General features: G+C 35.0%; 1 protein-coding gene across 2 annotated transcripts in view; it reads left to right on the top strand.

Moving 5' to 3' along the window:
- USH2A (usherin) overlaps positions 1-21,015 on the top strand; it is an 800,558-nt gene that overhangs the window by 43,848 nt on the left and 735,695 nt on the right. For both annotated transcript variants that reach the window (NM_206933.4, NM_007123.6), the window contains exon 4: positions 14,516-14,648. In NM_206933.4, coding sequence (NP_996816.3) covers positions 14,516-14,648 — 133 coding nt within the window. The remainder of the gene's footprint in view (positions 1-14,515; positions 14,649-21,015) is intronic.

The raw sequence follows: 21,015 nt of genomic DNA, 5'->3' as shown, positions 1-21,015 counted from the left end.
ATGACTTAGACACTGATTCCTGGTAGTTTAAAAGTCTAATGGAACAGTGAAATTTTGAGATCTCAAGTGCATCATGAATAAAGCACTTAAGTAGCACTTGTATATACTTCTTACAATTTGTTAACTGGTTTTCTGCTTTTTTTTTTTGCTGGAGAAAGAGATTTACAGTTTTAATCTGATTAGACATTAGCAGCTGGTTGAAGATGCTATTACTGTGAAGTATGGAAAAGAACACAATCATGATGAAAACTTTTTACTCAAATCCTTAGAAGAAGAAAGCAGATGAAATTAGATTGGCAAAGGAAACCAGCCCAAATTACACACAGGAGAGAAATGTAGCAGAGGAGAGTACTGAGTTGGTGCTGCACGCATAGAGCTTACAGCCTCCATGGGCAGGGGACATGTGGGTGTGACTGCCAGGGACAGGAATTGCAAACAGCATTTGGAGTGACAGTCTGGGTCAGCTTCTCATGCTCTTTCCCATCACCAGGCATCAGCGAGTGGAAAGATTTGACCTGATTTTGGAGCACAGAGTGTGGGCTCTAAGGCCACAGGAAGGCAGGTGAATGGGACTAGGATGTAGTGGAGTCCCCATGGCTAAAAAATAAGTTGTATTGCATACCTGCCTTTGCCCCACAATTATCAAATCCAATCTAGGGTGAATAGAAACACATCTGCAGACAGATCCAATGTCCACCTACAAAAAGTTTCAGAAAATGAAAACAGATGGAGAAAAAAAATTATAAAAATATAAAGAATTCTGGTAAAGTTGCCAAAAGAAATGAGTCTTCTAGTCAAATGGGCTTTGTTCTATTAGTAGATGTTGAGACGAATGCAGTGAATTGATTAGAGCTGATGTTATTTGTTTGGGTGCATACATGTGTGCCTGGTGAGGGGTGGGTGAGGGAAGAAAAAAAACTCAAACAAATAAGAAACATATTGAGAGAAAAATAATACCTAGAGAATTAAAATAGTACACTATAACAAAGTTTGTGAGTGATTATTAAGGCTTGTGTGGGTATTCGGGGGCTCTCTGAGGTGTCAATATGTAAACTGAGATCTGACAGTAAAGACTCAGCTACCTTATATCTCTTCATCCCTACATCTTGTTCTAAGAAAACATCAGAAGTCCTGTGATCTCAGCATAAGTTGAAAACTCGTAAGTAGTCATTCAAAGGTGGATTTGTGGAGGGTAGAGGTAAACTACCTTGATTATATTTACATAGAATGGAAGTGATGCTAATTTAGAAATGTCCATTGCTGTAAGTCTTAGGAGATGTAAAGTACCAATGAAAGATCCTGAACAGTATTATGTGACAGAAAATGAGCGTTACACTTTTAAAAAAATATTAGATGTTGTAACTTTAGTCATTCTCACCTTTACCTTTTAAGTATTTCACCATTTAATATCAACCTTCATTATTGATTTATTTCTAAAGATATCTGGAAATAGTTTAGGCTCATTAATTTTCTTTTTAAGAGTCAAATCGGCATGCAAATGTTTCTCCCACCAAGAAATTTTTTTCCTGGACTTCACCTTCTGAGGCATGTCCACCTTTGAGGCAAGCTAAGCCAGGCTTTGTGAAGGCAGAACCATCCGAAGCACACAGCCCCACCAAATTTCTCTCCCTCCTTCCCTCCCTCCCCTGTTCCTCTCTCCTTCTCTTTCTTTTTTCTCTTTCTTTCTCTTTCTTTCTCTTTCTTTCTTCCTTCCTTCCTTTCTTTCTTTCCTTCTTTCTTTCTTTCTTTCTTTCTTTCTTTCTTTCTTTCTTTCTTTCTTTCTTTCTTTCTTTTTATTTCTTTCCTTCTCTTTCTTTCTTTTTATTTCTTTCCTTCTCTTTCTTTCTTTCTTTTTTTTTTCTTTCTCTTTCTTCTCTCTTCCCCCCTCCCCTGCTCTCCCCTGCTCTCCCCTCCCCTTCCCTTTCTTTCAGCTGCTGCTTACCTGGGGTAACATGGTTTGGGAAGAAACATGTCAGAATTGGAGTGAATAAATATAAATGATAAAAAGACAAAATGAATATTATTTTCAAGAGTAATTACCAGTATGAAGTTCTTCAGATGATAACAAAAACTATTGACTTATTTTGTCTAAATCAATGCCACTATCTTATCTGTGTGATTGTGAAGGGAGGAAAGGAAACTGTTCACTGAATATTCTGCATTTGACCCGTAAATACCTACTTTTGTATTCAGGGATGATATATTCTTACCTTAAATTAATGACTGTTTTCTACTGTTCTTTTTTGGTGCAAACAAATTAAATGTGTGCACTTCTCCATGACTGATTGTGCAAAAACTGCTTAGACAATTACTATCTCTCTAGCTTTTGATCAGAAAGGACTACCTTGAAACAATGGCCACAATAATGGTATTATTCTCAATTCTAGAATTTATTTAAACAAACAATTCAAATCATATTTCATAATACAGTTCTCTGAAGGAGCTTAAAGAGATTCAGATTTTTCCTTTTGTTTAACATGGCTCTTCATTTAGTTTTTGAGGCATATTTTTAATAAATTTTGCTCAGTACTGTCTACTGGAGCTGAAAAAATCTAAGAAGACACAAAATGGCTGAAGCATAGGTACTTACAGAAAAGCATGCCTTTCTTTTAAGAATATAAAATTAATACATTATTTATTTATTATATAATGGGATGTTCTACCCTTGTTGAAGATTTTAGCAGATATAACTCATGCACAGTGTAAGTGAGCATTCACCCCTGTTTTGTTTATATGGCAGGACTATTTCTACAAATTTTACAAATTACTGTTTAGGATCTTTATGACATCCATTGAGTGCTGGCATGATAAATGATTTTCTATATATCTGTCTACATATTGAGGGCCTGATTGATGGCCCTTCTGACTTGGGGTCAGCAGTGAGTTCACATCTCTTGGTATACTTTGGCTTATTCCCTGGAAGTATAAACAGAAATCCAATGACCACTATTTTCATTATTTTCCTTCAGGCATAATCTGACCTAATGATATGTAACTGTATTACTGTGATTTAAGAGATTTTTAAAAAACTATAAACATTTTGAGGAAAAGTGAAAATGGTGATTTTAAATTTAACACATTTAAATATTCATTTTATGAAAAGAATATTTGAAAGAATAGGGATTTATCAGGATCAATAGAAGGCTTGGAGTAACCTAATCATTTTAAATTTTATTCCTTCTTGTTTTTTTCTGTTTTCCCACAACTTATTCACTACCCTCTATATTCTCATACTTTGCTAAATCATATTAATCCTTCAAGAGTTGGTTTAGATGAAGCTTCATTCATTTGATAAAGATTAAATGAGTGTCCAGTAGTTGCTAGCTCACCTTGTTCTGTTGTGCTTCACAGACAATGTGTTTTATTTTTATTTTTATTTTATTTTTTTACAAAGTGAAGGTTTATGGCAACCTTGCTTCAGGCAAACATGTCATATATTAGTGCTATTTTTCCAACAGCATGTGCTCGTTTTGTGTATGCTTCACATTTTGGCAATTCTCACAGAAATTTAAATTTTTTTCCAATCATTATAGCTGTTATGGTGGTCTGTGATCAGTGATTTTTGATGTTATTATAATTTCAGGGGGTGCCATGAACCACACCAATATGATATGGCAAAGTTAACCAATAAATGTTGTGTGTGTTATGACTTCTCCACCGACAGAATGTTCTTCTGACTTGTTCCTTCTCCTTGGGCCTCCCTGTTCCCTGAGACACAACAATATTGAAATTAAATTAGACCGAGTAATAACCCTACAGTGGCCTCTCAGTGTTCAAGTGAAAGGAAGAGTAACATTTCTCTCACTTGAAATCAAAAGCTAGAAATGAGTAAGCTTAGTGAGGAAGGCATGTAGAAAGTTGACAGGTTGAAAGCTAGTCCTCTTGCACCAAACAGCCAAGTTGAATGCAAAGGAAAATTTCTTGAGGGAAAATTAAAGTGCTACTCTAATGACCACAAAAATGATAAAAACTGAAACAGCTTTATTGCTGATGTGGAGAAAATTTGAGTGGTCTGGATAGAAGATCAGACCAGCTACAATATTCTCTTAAACCAAAGTCTAATCCAGACAAGGCCCTAACTATTCCATTATGTGAAGGCTGAGAGAAGTGAGCAAGCTACAAAAGAAAAGTTGGAAGCTAGCAGAGATTGGTTCACAAGGTTTAAGGAAAGAAGTAGTTTCCATAACATAAAAGTGCAAGGTTGAAAGAGCAAGTGCTGTTGTAGAAGTTGCAAGTTATCCAGAAGATCTAGATAAGATCACTGATGAAGGTGGCTACACTAAACAACATAATTTCAATGTGGATGAAAAAGTCTTCTGTTGGAAGAAGATGCCACCTAGGACTTTCATAGCTAGAGAAGAGAAATCAATGCCTAGTTTCAAAGCTCCAAAAATAAGACTGAGTCTCTTGTTAGGGGCTAATGCAGTTGGGGACTTTACTGCACAGGTGGTAGGTGCCCTAACCCCCATATTGTTAAAGGGTCAATGGTTTATAGAAATAATATAGAAGTAAGTGTGTGATTCTATCTAATCTATCTATCTAGTAGTATCTGTCTATATTCATATTCCCTATATATCCATAGTCCCTACAGCCATCCACTGAGGGGAGAGAGTGGGCCTGGGAGTAGTAACACTGAAATAGCACGAATCTACTTAGCACCGAATCTTTGTTCCTAAAGACCACTCATCTCTTAGAGGAACCAGGATTCCTTGGAGAAATGGCTGATTCCAGGGCTGTGGTGGGGAAGTACAAAATGAGCCTAGAACATCTTGTGTCATAAAGTAAGAAGATACTTAAAGAATTATTAGAACATGTCAATATGATCCAGAATGCAGCTGTATGGGGTCTATACTGTCCAAACCTGGAACAACTTGAGCACTGAAATACATATTGAGAGTAATTAATTATATCCCACTGAGTAAAATAGAGACTCATGAGTCTATATAGATAAAAATAAGCCTAAGCATATATTGAATTTTTAATAAGCAATAGGATATTTATACAGTCTTGAAGTATCTGCTCGCAAAATGTTTGCTAATTGCAAAGGGGAAAATTGTATTTTTACAGTGTGGAAGCCTGGCAGATATATTAATGCAAATGATTAAAGTTAACATCATTAATAATGGAACAAATAGAAATGATGTAAGACATGATAAGATATAATATGATCACTGTATCACCTGAATTTAATCATGAGGAAAAATTAGACAAACCCAAATTGAGAGGCAATCTACAAAATAACTGGGCGGTCCTCTTTAACAGTATTAAGATCAGAAAAGCCAAGGAAAGATTGAAGAACTCTTTTTTTTTTTGGGTCGGCACTGCTTTTTTATTTTATTTTATTATTATTATACTTTAAGTTTTAGGGTACATGTGCACAATGTGCAGGCTTGTTACATATGTATACACGTGCCATGTTGGTGTGCTGCACCCATCAACTCATGATTTAGCATTAGGTATATCTCTCAATGCTATCCCTCCCCCCTCCCCCCACCCCACAAAAGTCCCCAGTGTGTGATGTTCCCCTTCCTGTGTCCATGCGTTCTCATTGTTCAATTCCCACCTATGAGTGAGAACATGCAGTGTTTGGTTTTTTGTCCTTGCGATAGTTTGCTGAGAATGATGGTTTCCAGTTTCATCCACGTTCCTACAAAGGACATGAACTCATCAGTTTTTATGGCTGCATAGTATTCCATGGTGTATATGTGCCACATTTTCTTAATCCAGTCTATCGGTGTTGGACATTTGGGTTGGTTCTAAATCTTTGCTATTGTGAATAGGGCCGCAATAAACATACGTGTCTCTTTCAGATCAAAAGAAAACTTAGAGTCATGACAACTAAAGGCAACATGTGATTTGGGGCTGGAGGTGTTTTTTCTATAAAAGACTTTTTGGGGTCATTGACAAAACTTGAATGGGCTTTAAAGATAAAATGGTAATGATATACGAATAACTTTGATGTTTACATCGTGCTTATGTAAAAGAATGTCTTTTTGTAGCAAATACACGTTGCGGTATTCAGGGGGAATGGGTCATTAGGTCAAAAATTTAATCTCAAATGGGTCAGAAAAAATTCTTTGTACTACTCTTGTGACTTTCCTGTAACGTTGAGATAGTTATTTTTTAAAGTAATAAAAAACAGAAACTACTGATTGAGCTGCATTACAGATAGAATGGGAAAAGAGAAAATGGACAGAGGAAGTACAAACAACTTACTTGAGGAACACCTCAATAGAGAGAAGAAGAGTAACAGGGAAATATTTGGTGGAGGAGACTTCCAAGATATTTTCACGTTCTCATCTTTGTTCCTAACCACTTTATTCATATTTATTTATTATATTGCCTCCTTTCATTGAAAGTATTTTATACGCCATTTCTATTACAGATTGTAAATTCCTTGAAGAAAAGGTCTGTGCTTTATATACCCCTTATGTGTAGTATATGTAGCATCACACTTAGCATATCATAATGTGCTTGTTTCATATTCAAACAACAGGACCATTTTCAAACAAGTGATTGGATTTTAGTGAGAGTATGAAGAGCAGTTTTCTTTATAAACATGGGAGACAAAAGAGGTTGACTCACTTTTAAGGAGAGGACATTGTAGTTATAACAAGTAACTTCTAGCTCATTGGGATGTAACATGCTGAAAAAGTTTTCTAAGGTATTTTACAGCTAACTTGATAATCTTTTGGAAATCATCTGTTCTCCATGAGTAAAATAGAAAAAGGCACAATGATATATTGAAATAATTAAGAGTATCTAATATTGTGATGAAGTGTGCACCAAAAGCTTTCTTAAATGTAGAAGTGTACATGACACCTCTTTAAGCAGTATCTACAAAAAACCAGCTGGAACTCTCCCTATTCCTTAGGAATTCAATAAATCAGACTGTTGGCAGATTTTCCATCATGTATATGTGTAAATTAATAGCTTTTTTTTGGCAGTAGAGAGAAGAGAGTAATCTAAATGTGTAGGAAGAAGAGGCCATGAGAGTTTCACATCCAGTCAAGATAGGACAAAAAAAAATCTACTTGCATTCCTATGTTAAATTTTTAAAGATCAATTAAATGGAGACTTGTTTGGTGGAGGTTGCAGTATATGAAGAGCTTTAATAGAGATGAGGGGAGAACAGCAAATCCAGAGAATCATACCCAGGGCACAAATGTAATACACGTAGGCTTTTTCTGTAGATTGCTTCAAGAGCCTGGCTTGGCTTGTCTGAGTTACTCAGAGAGGAAAAAATGAAAGTGAGTGTATATGTTGGTTTGGGGTGTGTGAAGGTGTGGGAATGGAGAGAAGTGGACAGAGGGAAAATGTGTTGAAATAAAACACCAGGAGCTCATGGAAAATGCAAAACAGAAACAAAACCAAGAAAAAATCTTTGAGGGGCATACCTGTGTATGAATTCATTTTTCCATAGCACCTTTAACATAGTCAAAACAAATAAAATTTAAGCAGTTATTCAGTCAAACTAGTAGCAGGTGCACACACACATTCCAAACATTACAAATATTTGTGGGCCACCCACCTGGTTAATTTCTGCCAAAGCAACTATCCCTGAATAATTTCCTCAAGTACTTATTCATATTGTTTGTATAAACGTCACTCAATAGAGAATATTTAATAAACTGGAGCATTTATAATTATATAAAAATTCATGTCAGTAAACAAGGCCACTCTGAAAAGTTATGTGAAGAATCACAGTATGACACATTTTGTTAGAAAACGGTGCCTTTTCTTTATTGCTTAGAGTTGTAACATCACATAGTTCATGTTGTTGTTTTCATTTTCGGGGTATCAATTAGTTGATCAATCAGTTAGTGTTTATTAAGCTTCTGTCCAGCAGGTAAAGCATGCTCATCAAATTTGCAAATGACATAAATGTTAGAGGGATGGTAAAGGCACTGCATGACAGACATAGCATCCAAAAAGATTTTGACAGCTCGGAGCAATAGGCTGAATCTAACAAGATGAAATATAACATAGATAAATATAAATGCCTACCTTTGGGTCCACAAAGCCAACTGTACATGTATAGCATTGAGTAGATGTGAATTAGCTGTTGATGTAAGCAGGAAAAAAAAGACAGTATTTTAGTTAATAGTCAGCTCAACTTAATTTATCAGTTTTAGCTGCATGATGTCATTGCCAAAAATCTAGCCTGCAATTTTGAATTGTATTAAGGTGACAATCCTGTACCAGTTTGACAGGTCAGACCACATCTAGAGATTGTAGTATTTCTGGAGCCACATTTTAAGAAGAGAGACACTAAAAACTATGTCATATTTAGAACATCACAGAAACTAAACACATTTATCCTGAAGAAGACTTAGGAGAGGAATGACATCCTTCTTTACATTTATGTAAGCTCTCACATGGAAAAGGGATTAAATTTGTTTGGTGCAGTCTCAATAATTAGAACTGGAACTTGTGAACTGAAGTTATAAGGAGATACCTTTGGGTTCAATCATTTATAATAATTACATATAATAGTAAAAGCTGTTCAGAGAGAAAGGCGTTCCCAAAATCTGCAGAGGCAGAATACTAGCACAGTTTAGCCTGAGTGTCCTCCTTTGCAAAGTGGGGACAACACCATTGTGAAGCAGCGATCTGGGAAGGCAGTGGGATGATATAGGGAAAATGTTCAGCACAATGAGGGGCATGTAGTAAGTAAGTGGTTATAGTACACAGGGGATGTCACCTTTCCTATTGTGGGAGGTGGTGACACCAATCCTGAATCATCACTGGGTAGAGGTATAGAAGAGATGCTAAATGGATGGATTTGACAAACTGACTGTTACTTCAAAACCCTAACTGACTGCAACTTATTAATTAAATTTGCCATTTAAAACTGTCTCTGAAACCACCAGTCACGCTTCTATAGCACCTTGAGTATTTTTTTTTTTTTTTTTTTTTTTTTGAGACAGAGTCTGGCTCTGTTCCCCAAGCTGGAGTGCAGTGGCGCGATCTCGGCTCACCACAACCTCCGCCTCCCGGGTTTAGCAACTCTCTGCTTCAGCCTCCCGAGTAGCCCGGATTACAGGCTCGTGCCACCATACCCAGCTAATTTTTGTATTTTTAGCAGGGACAGGGTTTCACCATCTTGGCCAGGCTGGTTTTGAACTCTTTACCTCTTTACCTACCTCGTGATCCACTTACCTCTGCCTCCCAAACTGCTAGGAATACAGGCGTGAGCCACCGCACCAAGCTATTCTTTTTTTCTTTTTTTTCTTTTTTTGGATAGAGTCTCACTCTGTCGCCCAGGCTGGAGTGCAGTGGCGTGATGTCGGCTCACCGCAACCTCCACCTCCCCGGTTCAAGTAATTATCCTGCCTCAGCCTCCCAAGTAGCTGTAATTACAGGAATGCACCACCACAACTGGCTAATTTTTTTGTATTTTTAGTAGAGACGGAGTTTCGCCATGTTGGCCAGGCTGGTCTAGAACTTTTCACCTCAAGTGATCCGCCCACCTCGGCCTCCCAAAGTGCTGGGATTACAGGCACGCGCCATTGTGCCTGGCCAAATTTTTGTTTTCAATCCTCTGTGCTTATTTTTAATTATCTTTAAAATGGAGAAAAAGGTAAACCTGCCTTAGGTAACTGTAAAGTTAAAAAGAATGAATATGCATAAATATTTTAGAACAATGTCTGACATACTTTTTTTTTTTTTTTTTTTTTGGCAGAGTCTCACTCTGTCACCCAGGCTGTAGTGCAATGGCGCCATCTTGGCTCACTGCAACCTCTGCCTCCCGGGTTCAAAAGATTCTCCCGCCTCAGCCTCCCGAGTAGCTGGGACTACAGGTGTGTGCCACCACACCCAGCTAATTTTTGTATATATATATATTTTTTAAGTACAGACGGGGTTTCACTATGTTGGCCAGGCTGGTCTCAAACTCCTGACCTCATGATCTGCCTGCCTCAGCCTCCCAAAGTTCTAGGATTAGAGGTGTGAGCCTCCATGCCCGGCCCATACTAGCTTTTTAATATATGTTAACTACTTTTGTAATGCCAAAGTAGGTGGCAAAGGATTATTGGAGAAGAGAGGACTTGAGATGTGTGTTTTGAAAAATACTAAAAATTTAGTTAAGTGCCTATATGGAAATAGCTTGAACACATCATGAGATTAAGTGGTGTGTGATCGTCAGACAGTGAGGAGACTTTACCAGTTAGATTGGAGGTCGGCTGTTGGTGAAGGTTAGAAATAAATTGGGTGAGATGAGTGAGGAAAAATCTCAGAAGGCCTTAGGTTTAGGATGGTAAGCAATAGGATGGGATGTGTGGGGATTCCACGTGTTCGTAGGTAGGGGAATACAACATACATGTGATTTTTAAAATAAACTTATAGAGTTTTCAGGATACATTGCCTTACTTTAGCTTAAAAATTATGGATGGAATAGTGGAATCTTTTTATGCAAATCCTTCTTTCACTTAGAAATAGAAATTTCTATTTCAGGGCAATTTCTATTTCAGAAAGTCCAAGACTTTTCTCCTCCATAAAGTTTTCTCTTCTGATTCATATTACAGTGGTTTTCTTTTTGTTTGAATTTCTTAGCATTCAAAATGATGTTCCTTATATTTGTATCATCCATCATGATCTTTTAAGGGGAAATTTAAATTTAAGATACGTTGTCAAATCGCTTAATGTTAATCTATTAGAAAGGTGTTATTCTGAATGCATAAAATGGTTTTGCTTTAAATGAGGCCCTCCAAATTAATAAAACTGCTCTTCCTGGGAAGCTTCTAAGTTGGTTCTGGGAAAGCAAGTCACACAGAGAAGGTCCAAAAATACGTTATACACCACATATATTAACAAATTAAGACATAATTTCTCAAAGCAACTCCTTGGAAAAGATAATCCTTCTTGACTGCATTAAGATTCAGTATTTAAGTTAGAAACAACCATCATCATTTATAGTGATTCAAACACTATCTAGCATATTAAAATGTATTTTGTTGTCATCATACATACAAGCTCCTTGAGAGAAAGGATCATGACTTAACTCTTGTTGGTGTAGCTCATAGGGCCACTGTGGGTACCGAGTTGATGCTTTATGAATTCAGTTTAAATTAGAAGAATGTAGGCAATGGGATTACCATTTGTCCAGTAACAAATTCAGCACAGGTATTCTGTCTCTCTATTTCCCAGCCTGAGTCAGCAGTTTCTTTTAGTTCTGATGGCCAGCAGGAGTAAAATAGCAGCAAAGATCTGGCATTTCAGTGGCACAGGTGATTGTGGAAAATTACTATAATCTAGGTGGACTCGATTCTATTTTCCCCTTGCTAGGTACTGAGATATTGTGTAACTTTCTGGACTTTTGAATTATACTTCTCACTAATCTAGCATGAGAATGGGTGGATAGTGTCAAGAATTCTACTTAAAAAAAAAAAAATCTAGTGTACTCTTGTACTCAAAGGGATGAGTACAATCTATCACAGGGACACAAATGTGACCAAAAAAGTGGTTAAAATAAAATATGAAACTGAAGAGAATGAAGATTTGAGCATGACCTTCTCTGTATCTTCTTTCCAAAGTGTTTTCGGATCTCTTATGAAGGGGATTTAAAGGCTTTTCTACAACTGCTACTGCTTTTGTCAATTCATTCATTCAAGACACACCAATAAACATGCACGAGCTCCTCTTGTCCTCATAGGGCTAGAGAATGAGATAGGTGCAAAGTTTATTTTAGCAGAAGGCTTTCTTTTCACAAATCAGAAATTCCATTGTATGTATTCCCTTAAATAACTGGCAAGGGGACCATCGGAATGAGCTATGGCAAAAATCCACCTCAGTCTTTACAGCTTCAGGGTGATGGGGCCCCAGATCAGAATTGTAAAATAGTTTAGAGAATCTTGGAACATAAAACATGGTGCAGAAAAACCAAGGAAGATTTAATCTTATGTATGGAAAGGTGGTTGGTAGTGGAGGGGGCAATGGAAGAGAGTGGCTTGGGATCATCATTAATCATTATTTAAGTACCTATAAAGTGAAAATATCCTTCTGGAATTCACTGCAAGTGACACTGAATTCTTCTACTAAGCAAATATGTGATGAGTTGATAAAAAAGAAGGTCCTGAACTCTTGACAACAGATATAATACAGTGAATACAGAAAATCAAAAACATGCTTTCTATCTGACTCAAAATAAAGGTGCACTTAAACTTGTAAAAGACAACATTTTTATTTGAATGATATGACAGAAGTGTCACGGGAGTGTTACCTGCTATAAAGAAAGCCTAAGAATTATTACCTTTATTAGACCAGTGACACTGAGCTTTAGCCATACATTTCTAACTTCTGTCCCTCTACAGAGACAATTTTCTTTTCTTAAATAAACTGTCATGCTAGTGTTAATATATTGTTGGCTCTCTCATGCTCTGAGAATACTGCTGATATAAAACATGTATATGTTAGATTGGTAATAGTATCTTTAGTGTAGCTGACTAGAACAAATGTGTTTCCCTCATGGCTGTGCTAATGTGATAAAGGAAAATTGGCTGTTCATCAGCTTTTGGCTGGGTAAAGACAGTAGAGATGGAACCACATTCTTTTTTATGCATTAATACCACTGAGAACTTTTCACTAGTTATATTTCATGTGCCTGCATGTTGTGCAAAGATGTTGTAAAACATGAGATAATGCTACAAATAACAAAGTAGAAAAGCCTGTATCTTTTATAATGATAACAGTCAAACACCAAATGACAGTAACAGGCTGTAAAAAATGGGATGCAAAAAAAATGCAGCCCTACTACCCAACAAAGCGGAATATATCCAGGCCCTTGAGGACTTGGTATATGATTTGAGGTATATTAAAGCTTTGTTTTAAAATTAAATCAAATGCAACACTAGATCAATGGATTTAAGAAAGAACATAGTTTAAATGAAAGTAGGGTGGTTAGAATGGAGAAAAGCCATTGTGGGTAACTTCTTGAAATAATCCGTATTACCAAGTAATTATTGTAGTAACTTCCTGTTTTTTTTGTTTTGTTGTGTTTTGCTTGTTTTTTTGGGGGGGGACATTGAAAAAGATTTTTAAGGCAATAGTACACATGATTTTAAGATGTTTGAGAATAAATGTTTATCTTCATTAATTATTGCAAGTCTTTTTAACATAAAAGCATTAAAAGTATAACCAGTTTCAGGCTCACAGCAAAACTGAGTGGAAATTTCAGAGATCTCCCAAACATGCTGTACCCCCATGTACCCACAGCCTCCCCCTCTATTAAAGCCCTGCACCAGAGTGGTATATTTGTTACAATTGCCGGACCTACACTGATACATCATTACCACTCAAAGTCCATAGCAGAATAGCATGTTGAATGTTTTGCTATCATTTTAATTAAAATGTTAACATCCAACCTTTCCTTTGCATGACCTTAAATCTCACTCTTTCCTCCCCTCTCTCAACCCCTCCCCTTTCCAGAGCCTTTTATTTGCCATTTCAGCTCCTTCACTAATTAGAGTACCAATTATTCCTTTTTCATTTAAGCTAAAAGCACTTGAACAAAAAGACTATTTGCAGAGATGAAGTTGATGTCCAAACAGCTGATTAGTTTATTTAGAAGTGTATGCAATTAAAAATTTTGTGCAGGTATCTATGGGTGTTTTCCATAAAAGTTTGATAGCATTGGCTATTCTGGGCTCCAGTCGCATAAACAAAAATCCCATAGCTTTTTAATCATGTAATCCAAGAGTTATCAAGCTACAACCTGTGGGTCAAATTGGCTGGCCACCTGTTTTTATAAATAAAGTTTTATTTGGACACAGCCATGCCCATTTGTTTATATATTGTCTGTGGATGCTTTTGCATTACAGCATTAGAGTTGGGCAGTTGTGACAGTAACCATTTGGCCCATAAAACCAAACCATTTGACTTGCAGAGAAAAAAACATTCTCTAGCTATTTACAGAAAAAAAAAATTGCTAATCCCTAATATGTGCAGTTATTAGGCTACTTGCTTGATTGATTAGTCTAGAATATGATTGGCAACTTTTTGTTACCCTACATTGGAAAAGTATATCTGAAAATCACCAACCGGATACCAATACCCAAGACAGTAAATTCAAGAAATATTTGATCCTAGTAACTTGAATTATATCCACATGCAATTCTTTGTTGTTATATCTGGTTTTAATTATTTCTTTCCCTTGTACTCATTTTGCTCTATTTCCAAATATAGCCATAACAAATTTAATTTGTATTTAAAGAAGTAACATATCCTCAAAAACCCTGTAAAACATGGCAACCAGAGCTGTTACATGTATGGGACAAACTATTATGTATACCTGTGAACACCCTGGGAGATATCATCACAGCACAAAATGACACTATATAGGTTTATATCTAGATAAACACATGGAGATATCACTGAGCTATTAAAATAATGTTTTCAGTCTTCCCAGCTGAACAAAGTAAAGAAGAAAGAAAGTTACTTAATAAAAACTGCTGAAATGTGTTTAATATAAAATAAAAGTTTATGCACTTAAACTAATAATGGTGGTAATTTCTTACAGGTGCATCAGACAAAAATCAGCTTCTTTATCAATGGCGTGGAGAAGGATCATACACCTTTCAATGCAAGAACTCTAAGTGGTTCAATTACAGATTTTGCATCTGGTACTGTGCAAATAGGACAGAGTTTAAATGGTAAGTTTCTGACTTCAGAATGTTATTTATTTCATCCAATTACATTGTTCTTAAAAATGCATCAAACAAATAATATTTTAAAATATCTACGTGTATTCATCTTCTAGGGCTACTGAACAAATTACCACCAACTGGATGGCAGATTAATGAAAGTAAAATTTATTTTTTCACAGTTTTGGAAGCTGGAAGTCAGAAATTAAGGGTTCAGTGGTGTTGGTTCCTTCTGGAGGCTCTGAGGGCAAATCTATTCCATGTCTCTCTTCGTGGTAGCTACTGGCAATCCTTAGTGTTCCTTTACTTGCTGCTTCCTAACTGCAATCTTGCCTCAGTCTTCATGTGGCCTTCTCCTCTGAATCTTCTCCCCTTTACCTCTGTTATAAGGACACTTGTCATTGGATTTAGGGCCCACTCACAGTCAGGAGGATCTCACCCTGAGTTCCTTAACTTAATTATACTTGCAAAGACCCTTTTTCCAAATTAAAGTCATAGTTACAGGTTCCAGATGGATAATAGATCTTTTGGGATCTACTATATAACTTACTACATTTGGGAAGCTTTCAAATATAAACTTCTTTATTCTGATCAGTTTTTAAGTAATTTCAATGTGTAATAAACTATATTTCCTTTCTGTCTCTTTTCTGAGGGGTTTGCATTTTCATGTAGAGAATTGTTAAAGTAGAACTACGAAGTATTAGATGGAACCTGAGAAATAGTATTGACATGTAATTAACTGGACTGATGTTTACATTTACTACATTAAAAATGGGCCATATAGTTTAAGAAGATATCATATACTATATATTGAATAAAACCAGAAGTTGAAATAAGAAATTATCTTGAAATATCTAGTACAGTGGTCTTTAAAATGCCTGCATATTAAAATAAAAATAGTATTTTATATTATTATATAATATATGCTCATTATAAAAAAATCTAAACAATATGGAACTCTGTGAAATAGAAAGTATTTTCCATATTTCTATCTTCAGAGATAGATATAATTTAACTTTTTTATACTCCTACAGATTTTTAGTACATTTTTAGCTAGAGATATAGTTATAAATACATTTTTCCAAAAATAAAATTACAATACATATGCTTCCTCTGAGCCTTCTAAAAATAAATACTTCTCCTTCAAATGTTATAAACAACGTTTCATGTCAATGTATCTTCTCATTTAGATATATGTTCTCATTTAAAATGGCTGTATTCTATGCAATTGTATAGTTGCAATCCATGAGATTTCTTAAGCTCCTATAATGAACATTTAGGTTTTTTTAATGTTTCAGTGCAATTAGCAGTTATTTTATGGAAAATATTATATATATATCCACATATATTTATATATCTGTGTCTATATCTACATTTCCATTTATATATATCAACCATCAATCTATCAATCATATACATAGATGTATACATACGTACATATGTATTTGAGCAGTTGCCTGATTGCACAGTTCCTTAATATCCTATTTGGTGCCAACCTGCGTGAATTCATATCCCATTTCCTCACTTACTAGCTATATGGCCTGGCAAGATATTTTAATATCTCTAAAGTGTAGTCACCCCAACTTTAAAATGATGATGATGATGATCATAATATTGATTTCCCATAGGGCCAATGTAAGGATCAAATGAAGCAATGTCATGTAAAACATTACTGTGTTTCAAGCACCTGGCATGTATTAGATATTCAATATTTATTTGTTAAATGAATGAATGGATGAAGTGCTAAGCACAATGCCTGTATATAAACTATATTTTCTCTTTCTTGGGCATGGGGCTGGATTTTAATGTACAGCATTGTTAAAGTAGGACTGTACAGTATTAGATGAAAACTGAGAAATAATATTAACATATAATTAACTGGACTATGTGGTTTATATTTTCGCACACTAAAAATTGGCCATGTAGTTTAAGAAGATAACATATATGCTATATATTGAAAAAAATTACTAAACTATATCAGTAAATAATAATAATATTATTATTTTATTATTATTTTTTTTTGACAGGGAGTTTCGCTCTTGTCGCCCAGGCTGGAGTGCAGTGGTGCAATCTCGGCTCTCTGCAACCTCTGTCTCCTGGGTTCAAGTGATTCTCCTGCCTCAGCCTCCTGAGTAGCTGGGATTACAGATGTGCACCACCACGCCTAACTTTTGTATTTTTAGTAGAGATGGGGTTTCACCATGTTGGCCAGGCTGGTCTCGAACTCCTGGCCTCAGGTGATCCACCCACCTTGGCCTCTCAAAGTGCTGGGATTACAGGCGTGAGCCACCGCACCCTGCCGTAAATAATACTATTATTAATGTTATTATAATTATTTCCAAAAAATAAATTCATAGAAGTTGAATGGCTGGGTTGAAGTATATGGTCATTTTATATTTTAATACATATTACAGAGATTGCTCTAATGCATAACAATGGGCTACCTCCAGAAAGGTTGTGAAAATTTATAACCTCATTAAAATATATAGCCAAGTACTTGTTTCCTTAAACACTAACTATCCTTACAAATTATCCACTTTTTTTTCACCCTTGACATTCCTCTAAGTGAAAAATATTGTTGAATGCTGACTCAGAATTATTTGGCCATTAATGAGTTTGAGTAGCTTTTTACGTATGTCTTGATCATTTGCATTTCATTTATGAATTCCTTATTCATACAATGTGTCCATATTTATACTCTATAATTCCTTATTTATTTATAAAAACTCATTTATGTTAAGAATATTATGTTGTATAAGTTTTCTTCAGTTTTTTGATGGCTTATGAACTTTGTGGTCTAGATATTTTAAAGTAATCCTTTAATATTTAAGCAAAATAAAACATGTATGCAAGATAGTGCATAAATATAAAAGGTATAGCTTGATGAGTTTTTAATATTTATATACACCTGTGTAACTCTCATTTAAAAAAAGTCGTAGAATATTTCCAGAATCTCAGAGTCCCCTAATGAACATCCACTGTAAAGATAAAAACAGAATAGCATCAATGTAGCCCTCTATAACCATAGATTAATGTTGCCTGTTCTCAAACTATCATACAAATAAAATCATGAAGTAGGTACTCTTTTGTGTTCTTTTTGCTTAGCACTATGCCAATGAGATTTTTCCATAGTGTATGCAGTTATATCTTTAGCTTTAGCAAATAATTCTGTAAAGTTTTCCAAAGTGGGTGTCCCAACAAGCAACATTTGAGGATTTCAGTTGTTCCACATCCTTATCAACTGTTAGTTTTGCCAGATGTTATCATTCTTTGCCATTCTTGTAGCCATGTAGTGCATTTCCTGATCATTAGTGATACTGAGATCTTTTCATGTGCTTATTTGCCAAATGAATATGCTTTTTTGGGAAGCCTTTTGCCAAGTTTTAATTGGACAGTTTGTATTTTTCTTAATAATTTATAGGAGGTCTTCCATATTTTGAATATGAGTTCTTTGACAAATACATGATAGCAAATATGGTCTTCTGGGCTAAGGCTTACAGTCACATTCTCTTGATGGTATTTGTCGATAAGCAGATCTTCTTAATTTTAATGAGTCTAATTTAGTCATTGTTTTATACTTAATACTTTTTGTGTTCTGTTTAGACTATTTTTGCAAACCCTGATATCACGAAGATATCCTCCTACAGTTTATTCAGGAAGCTTTATTATTTTACTTTTCAAATTTTGGTCTATGTTCTATCTGGAATAGATTTTTTGAGGTTATATAAGGTAGGGGTCAAAATTTTTGTCCCACCTGAATGTGTAATTAACCTAGAAAACCTTGCCTCTTGAAACAAATCAATGTTTCTACCATTCTGCAGTGGTAACGTTGTCGTGAATCAGGTCTCTGTATATGTGAAGATGGGTTTCTTTCTGAACTTTCTATTCTGCCCCAGTGATCTGTCTGTCTGTCTATACTTGGGCCAAAATATTTAGTTTTAATTACTGTAACTTCATACATGTCTTCATATCTAGTAGTTCTCCAACTTTTTTTCTTTTAAGATTGCCTTGGCTATTATATATGAATTTTAGAAACAGTTTTTCAATTTTCATAAAAAATTCTGTTGAGATTTAAATTACTCATTTGTATTTAGGAGAATGGGCATCTGAACAATATCAAGTATCCAGCCCATAAATGTAATATATTCCTTGATTTCTCCCAGCAATGTTTTTAGTTGTCTGTATAGAGGTCTCACTCCTATTTGTTAGACTTGTTCAAACATATTCATTGGTTTTCCTTCTTAATAGACTATTTTTTTAGAGCAATTTTAGAGTCACAGAAAAATTGAGTGGAAAGTATAGAGAGTTCCAGTATACTCTCTGCTCCTACACACGCACAGCCTTCCCCATTGTCAATATCCCTCACCAGAGCGGTATATGGTATATTTGTTACAATTGATGAACCTACATTGACACATCATTATCACCCACAGTCCATAGTTTACATTAAAGTTCACTCTTGGTGTTGTACAACGACAAGTATCCACTACTCCAGTATCCTACAGAGTAGCTTCACTCCCTAAAAATCTTCTATGTTCCTCATATTCATCCTTATCTCTATCCTAACCCCTAGCAATCACTGATCTTTTCACTGTCTCTGTATTTTCACCTTTTCTAGAATATCATATAGTTGGGATAAAAAAATCATGTATCCTCAGATTGGCTTGTTTCACTGAGTAATATGCATGTAAGATTTCTCCATGTCTTTCATGGCTTGGTGGTTCATATCTTCTTAGTACTAAATAATATTCCATGGTTAGATATAGCATAGTTGATTTATTCATTCACCTACTGAAGGACATCTTGGTTGCTTCCAAGTTTTGGCAATTATGAGTAAAGTTGCTATAAACATCAGTGTGTAGGTTTTTGTGTGAACATAAGTTTTCAACTTATAAATACCAAAGAGCGCAATTACTGGATCGTATGGTAAGATATGTTTAGTTTTGTAAGAAACTGTAAAATTGTCTTCCAAAATGACTATATCGTTTTACATTCCTATCAGCAATGAAAGAGAGTCCCTGTTGCCCCACATCCTCACCAGCATTTGGTATTGTCAGTGTTCTGGCTTTTTGGCCTGTTGGTTTTCATGCAATTATACTTAGTATTGTTTTTGAACTTCATTTGCTAATTTTGTTACTATTGCATTAAAATCTAATCAGTTTTTATATTTACCTATGTTTAGTGACCTTGCCAAACTCATTATTATGATAGGTACACAATCCTATCATTTGCACATATCAGGAACTCAACTCTTTTTGAATGTTTGTAATAAATGTATATAATGGACATGCCATAAATATCTCCTGTAGATATTTTTGTCTGATGCACTTATTAATTCTGAAATAATATAAAATGTTATTTTGTTTTTCTGTATGACCTGAGTTATTAGACCAATGTCTAGTTTTAAAAAAGAAGGTATATATTTTTGATATTCAAAACACTGTGGTTAAATTGCCAAGCTCTGGTTTAAATATAACCCAGGTGTGCTTCTTTGATCAAAATATTAACTCTCTTTAAGTCTGGTTTCTAATCTATTAAATGGTGGTTTAATATATAATTCATAGGAATCTTATAAGAATTATGTGAGATGATGTATGTTTAGAATATAAGTTGCTTGTTGTATAGTAAATGTGCATTAAGTGGTAACTATTTTTAAACTCTTTGAACATCAATTTTCTTATTGTGAAACAATAAGATAGGGATAACACTATATTTCCATATGATTGTTGTACCAATCAAAAGAGAAAATATGAAGACCGTATTACTTTAGTTTGTGTATGCTCTTAGATCAAGCTAAACTCATGTGAAGAAGCAATATTTTAAGGAACTTATATATTTAGGAACTTGGTTTGAGTAATTAGTATAATGCATAATCTTATAAAATACTCTGCGTGAAGAATTTTTAAATAACACATTAAATCTTGTGAGCCTTATTTCAATATTTAATCCCCATTAGTACTTCTAAAAGTGTTTTATTGCACCAAATGTTGCTCAAAGTATTTGATAGCGCCATAAATTAGTCCCCTATGCACTGCAGGGTTAAAATGGCTTGCTTCTATTCTACTTCAGTATACTAAATGTTGGATTAATGCTTCAAAAGAACAGTGTGAACTGAAGATGATATTTTTAAACTGTGTAGAAATAAATTTCACTCCTGATTAGAAAACATGTAACAGGAAACCGGTTTATTTCAAATATTATTTAGTTTTCATTACAACTTTCTCCTTTATGTTCTTGACATCTGAGAGCTACAGAAGGAAAAGGATATTTTAAATAATTTTTATCTTTATTCTATCAATTTATATGTACAGTCGTACCTACTGTATCTTTTCTCTAATTAGAGATGGCGTATAGACTGGCTCATTACTTCTGCCTA

This window comes from Homo sapiens, chromosome 1, assembly GCF_000001405.40.
Source record: "Homo sapiens chromosome 1, GRCh38.p14 Primary Assembly".
Classification (NCBI taxonomy): Eukaryota; Metazoa; Chordata; class Mammalia; order Primates; family Hominidae; genus Homo; species Homo sapiens.
Note: the sequence above shows the minus strand (reverse complement) of the source record. Positions and strands in the feature narration are given on the sequence as shown.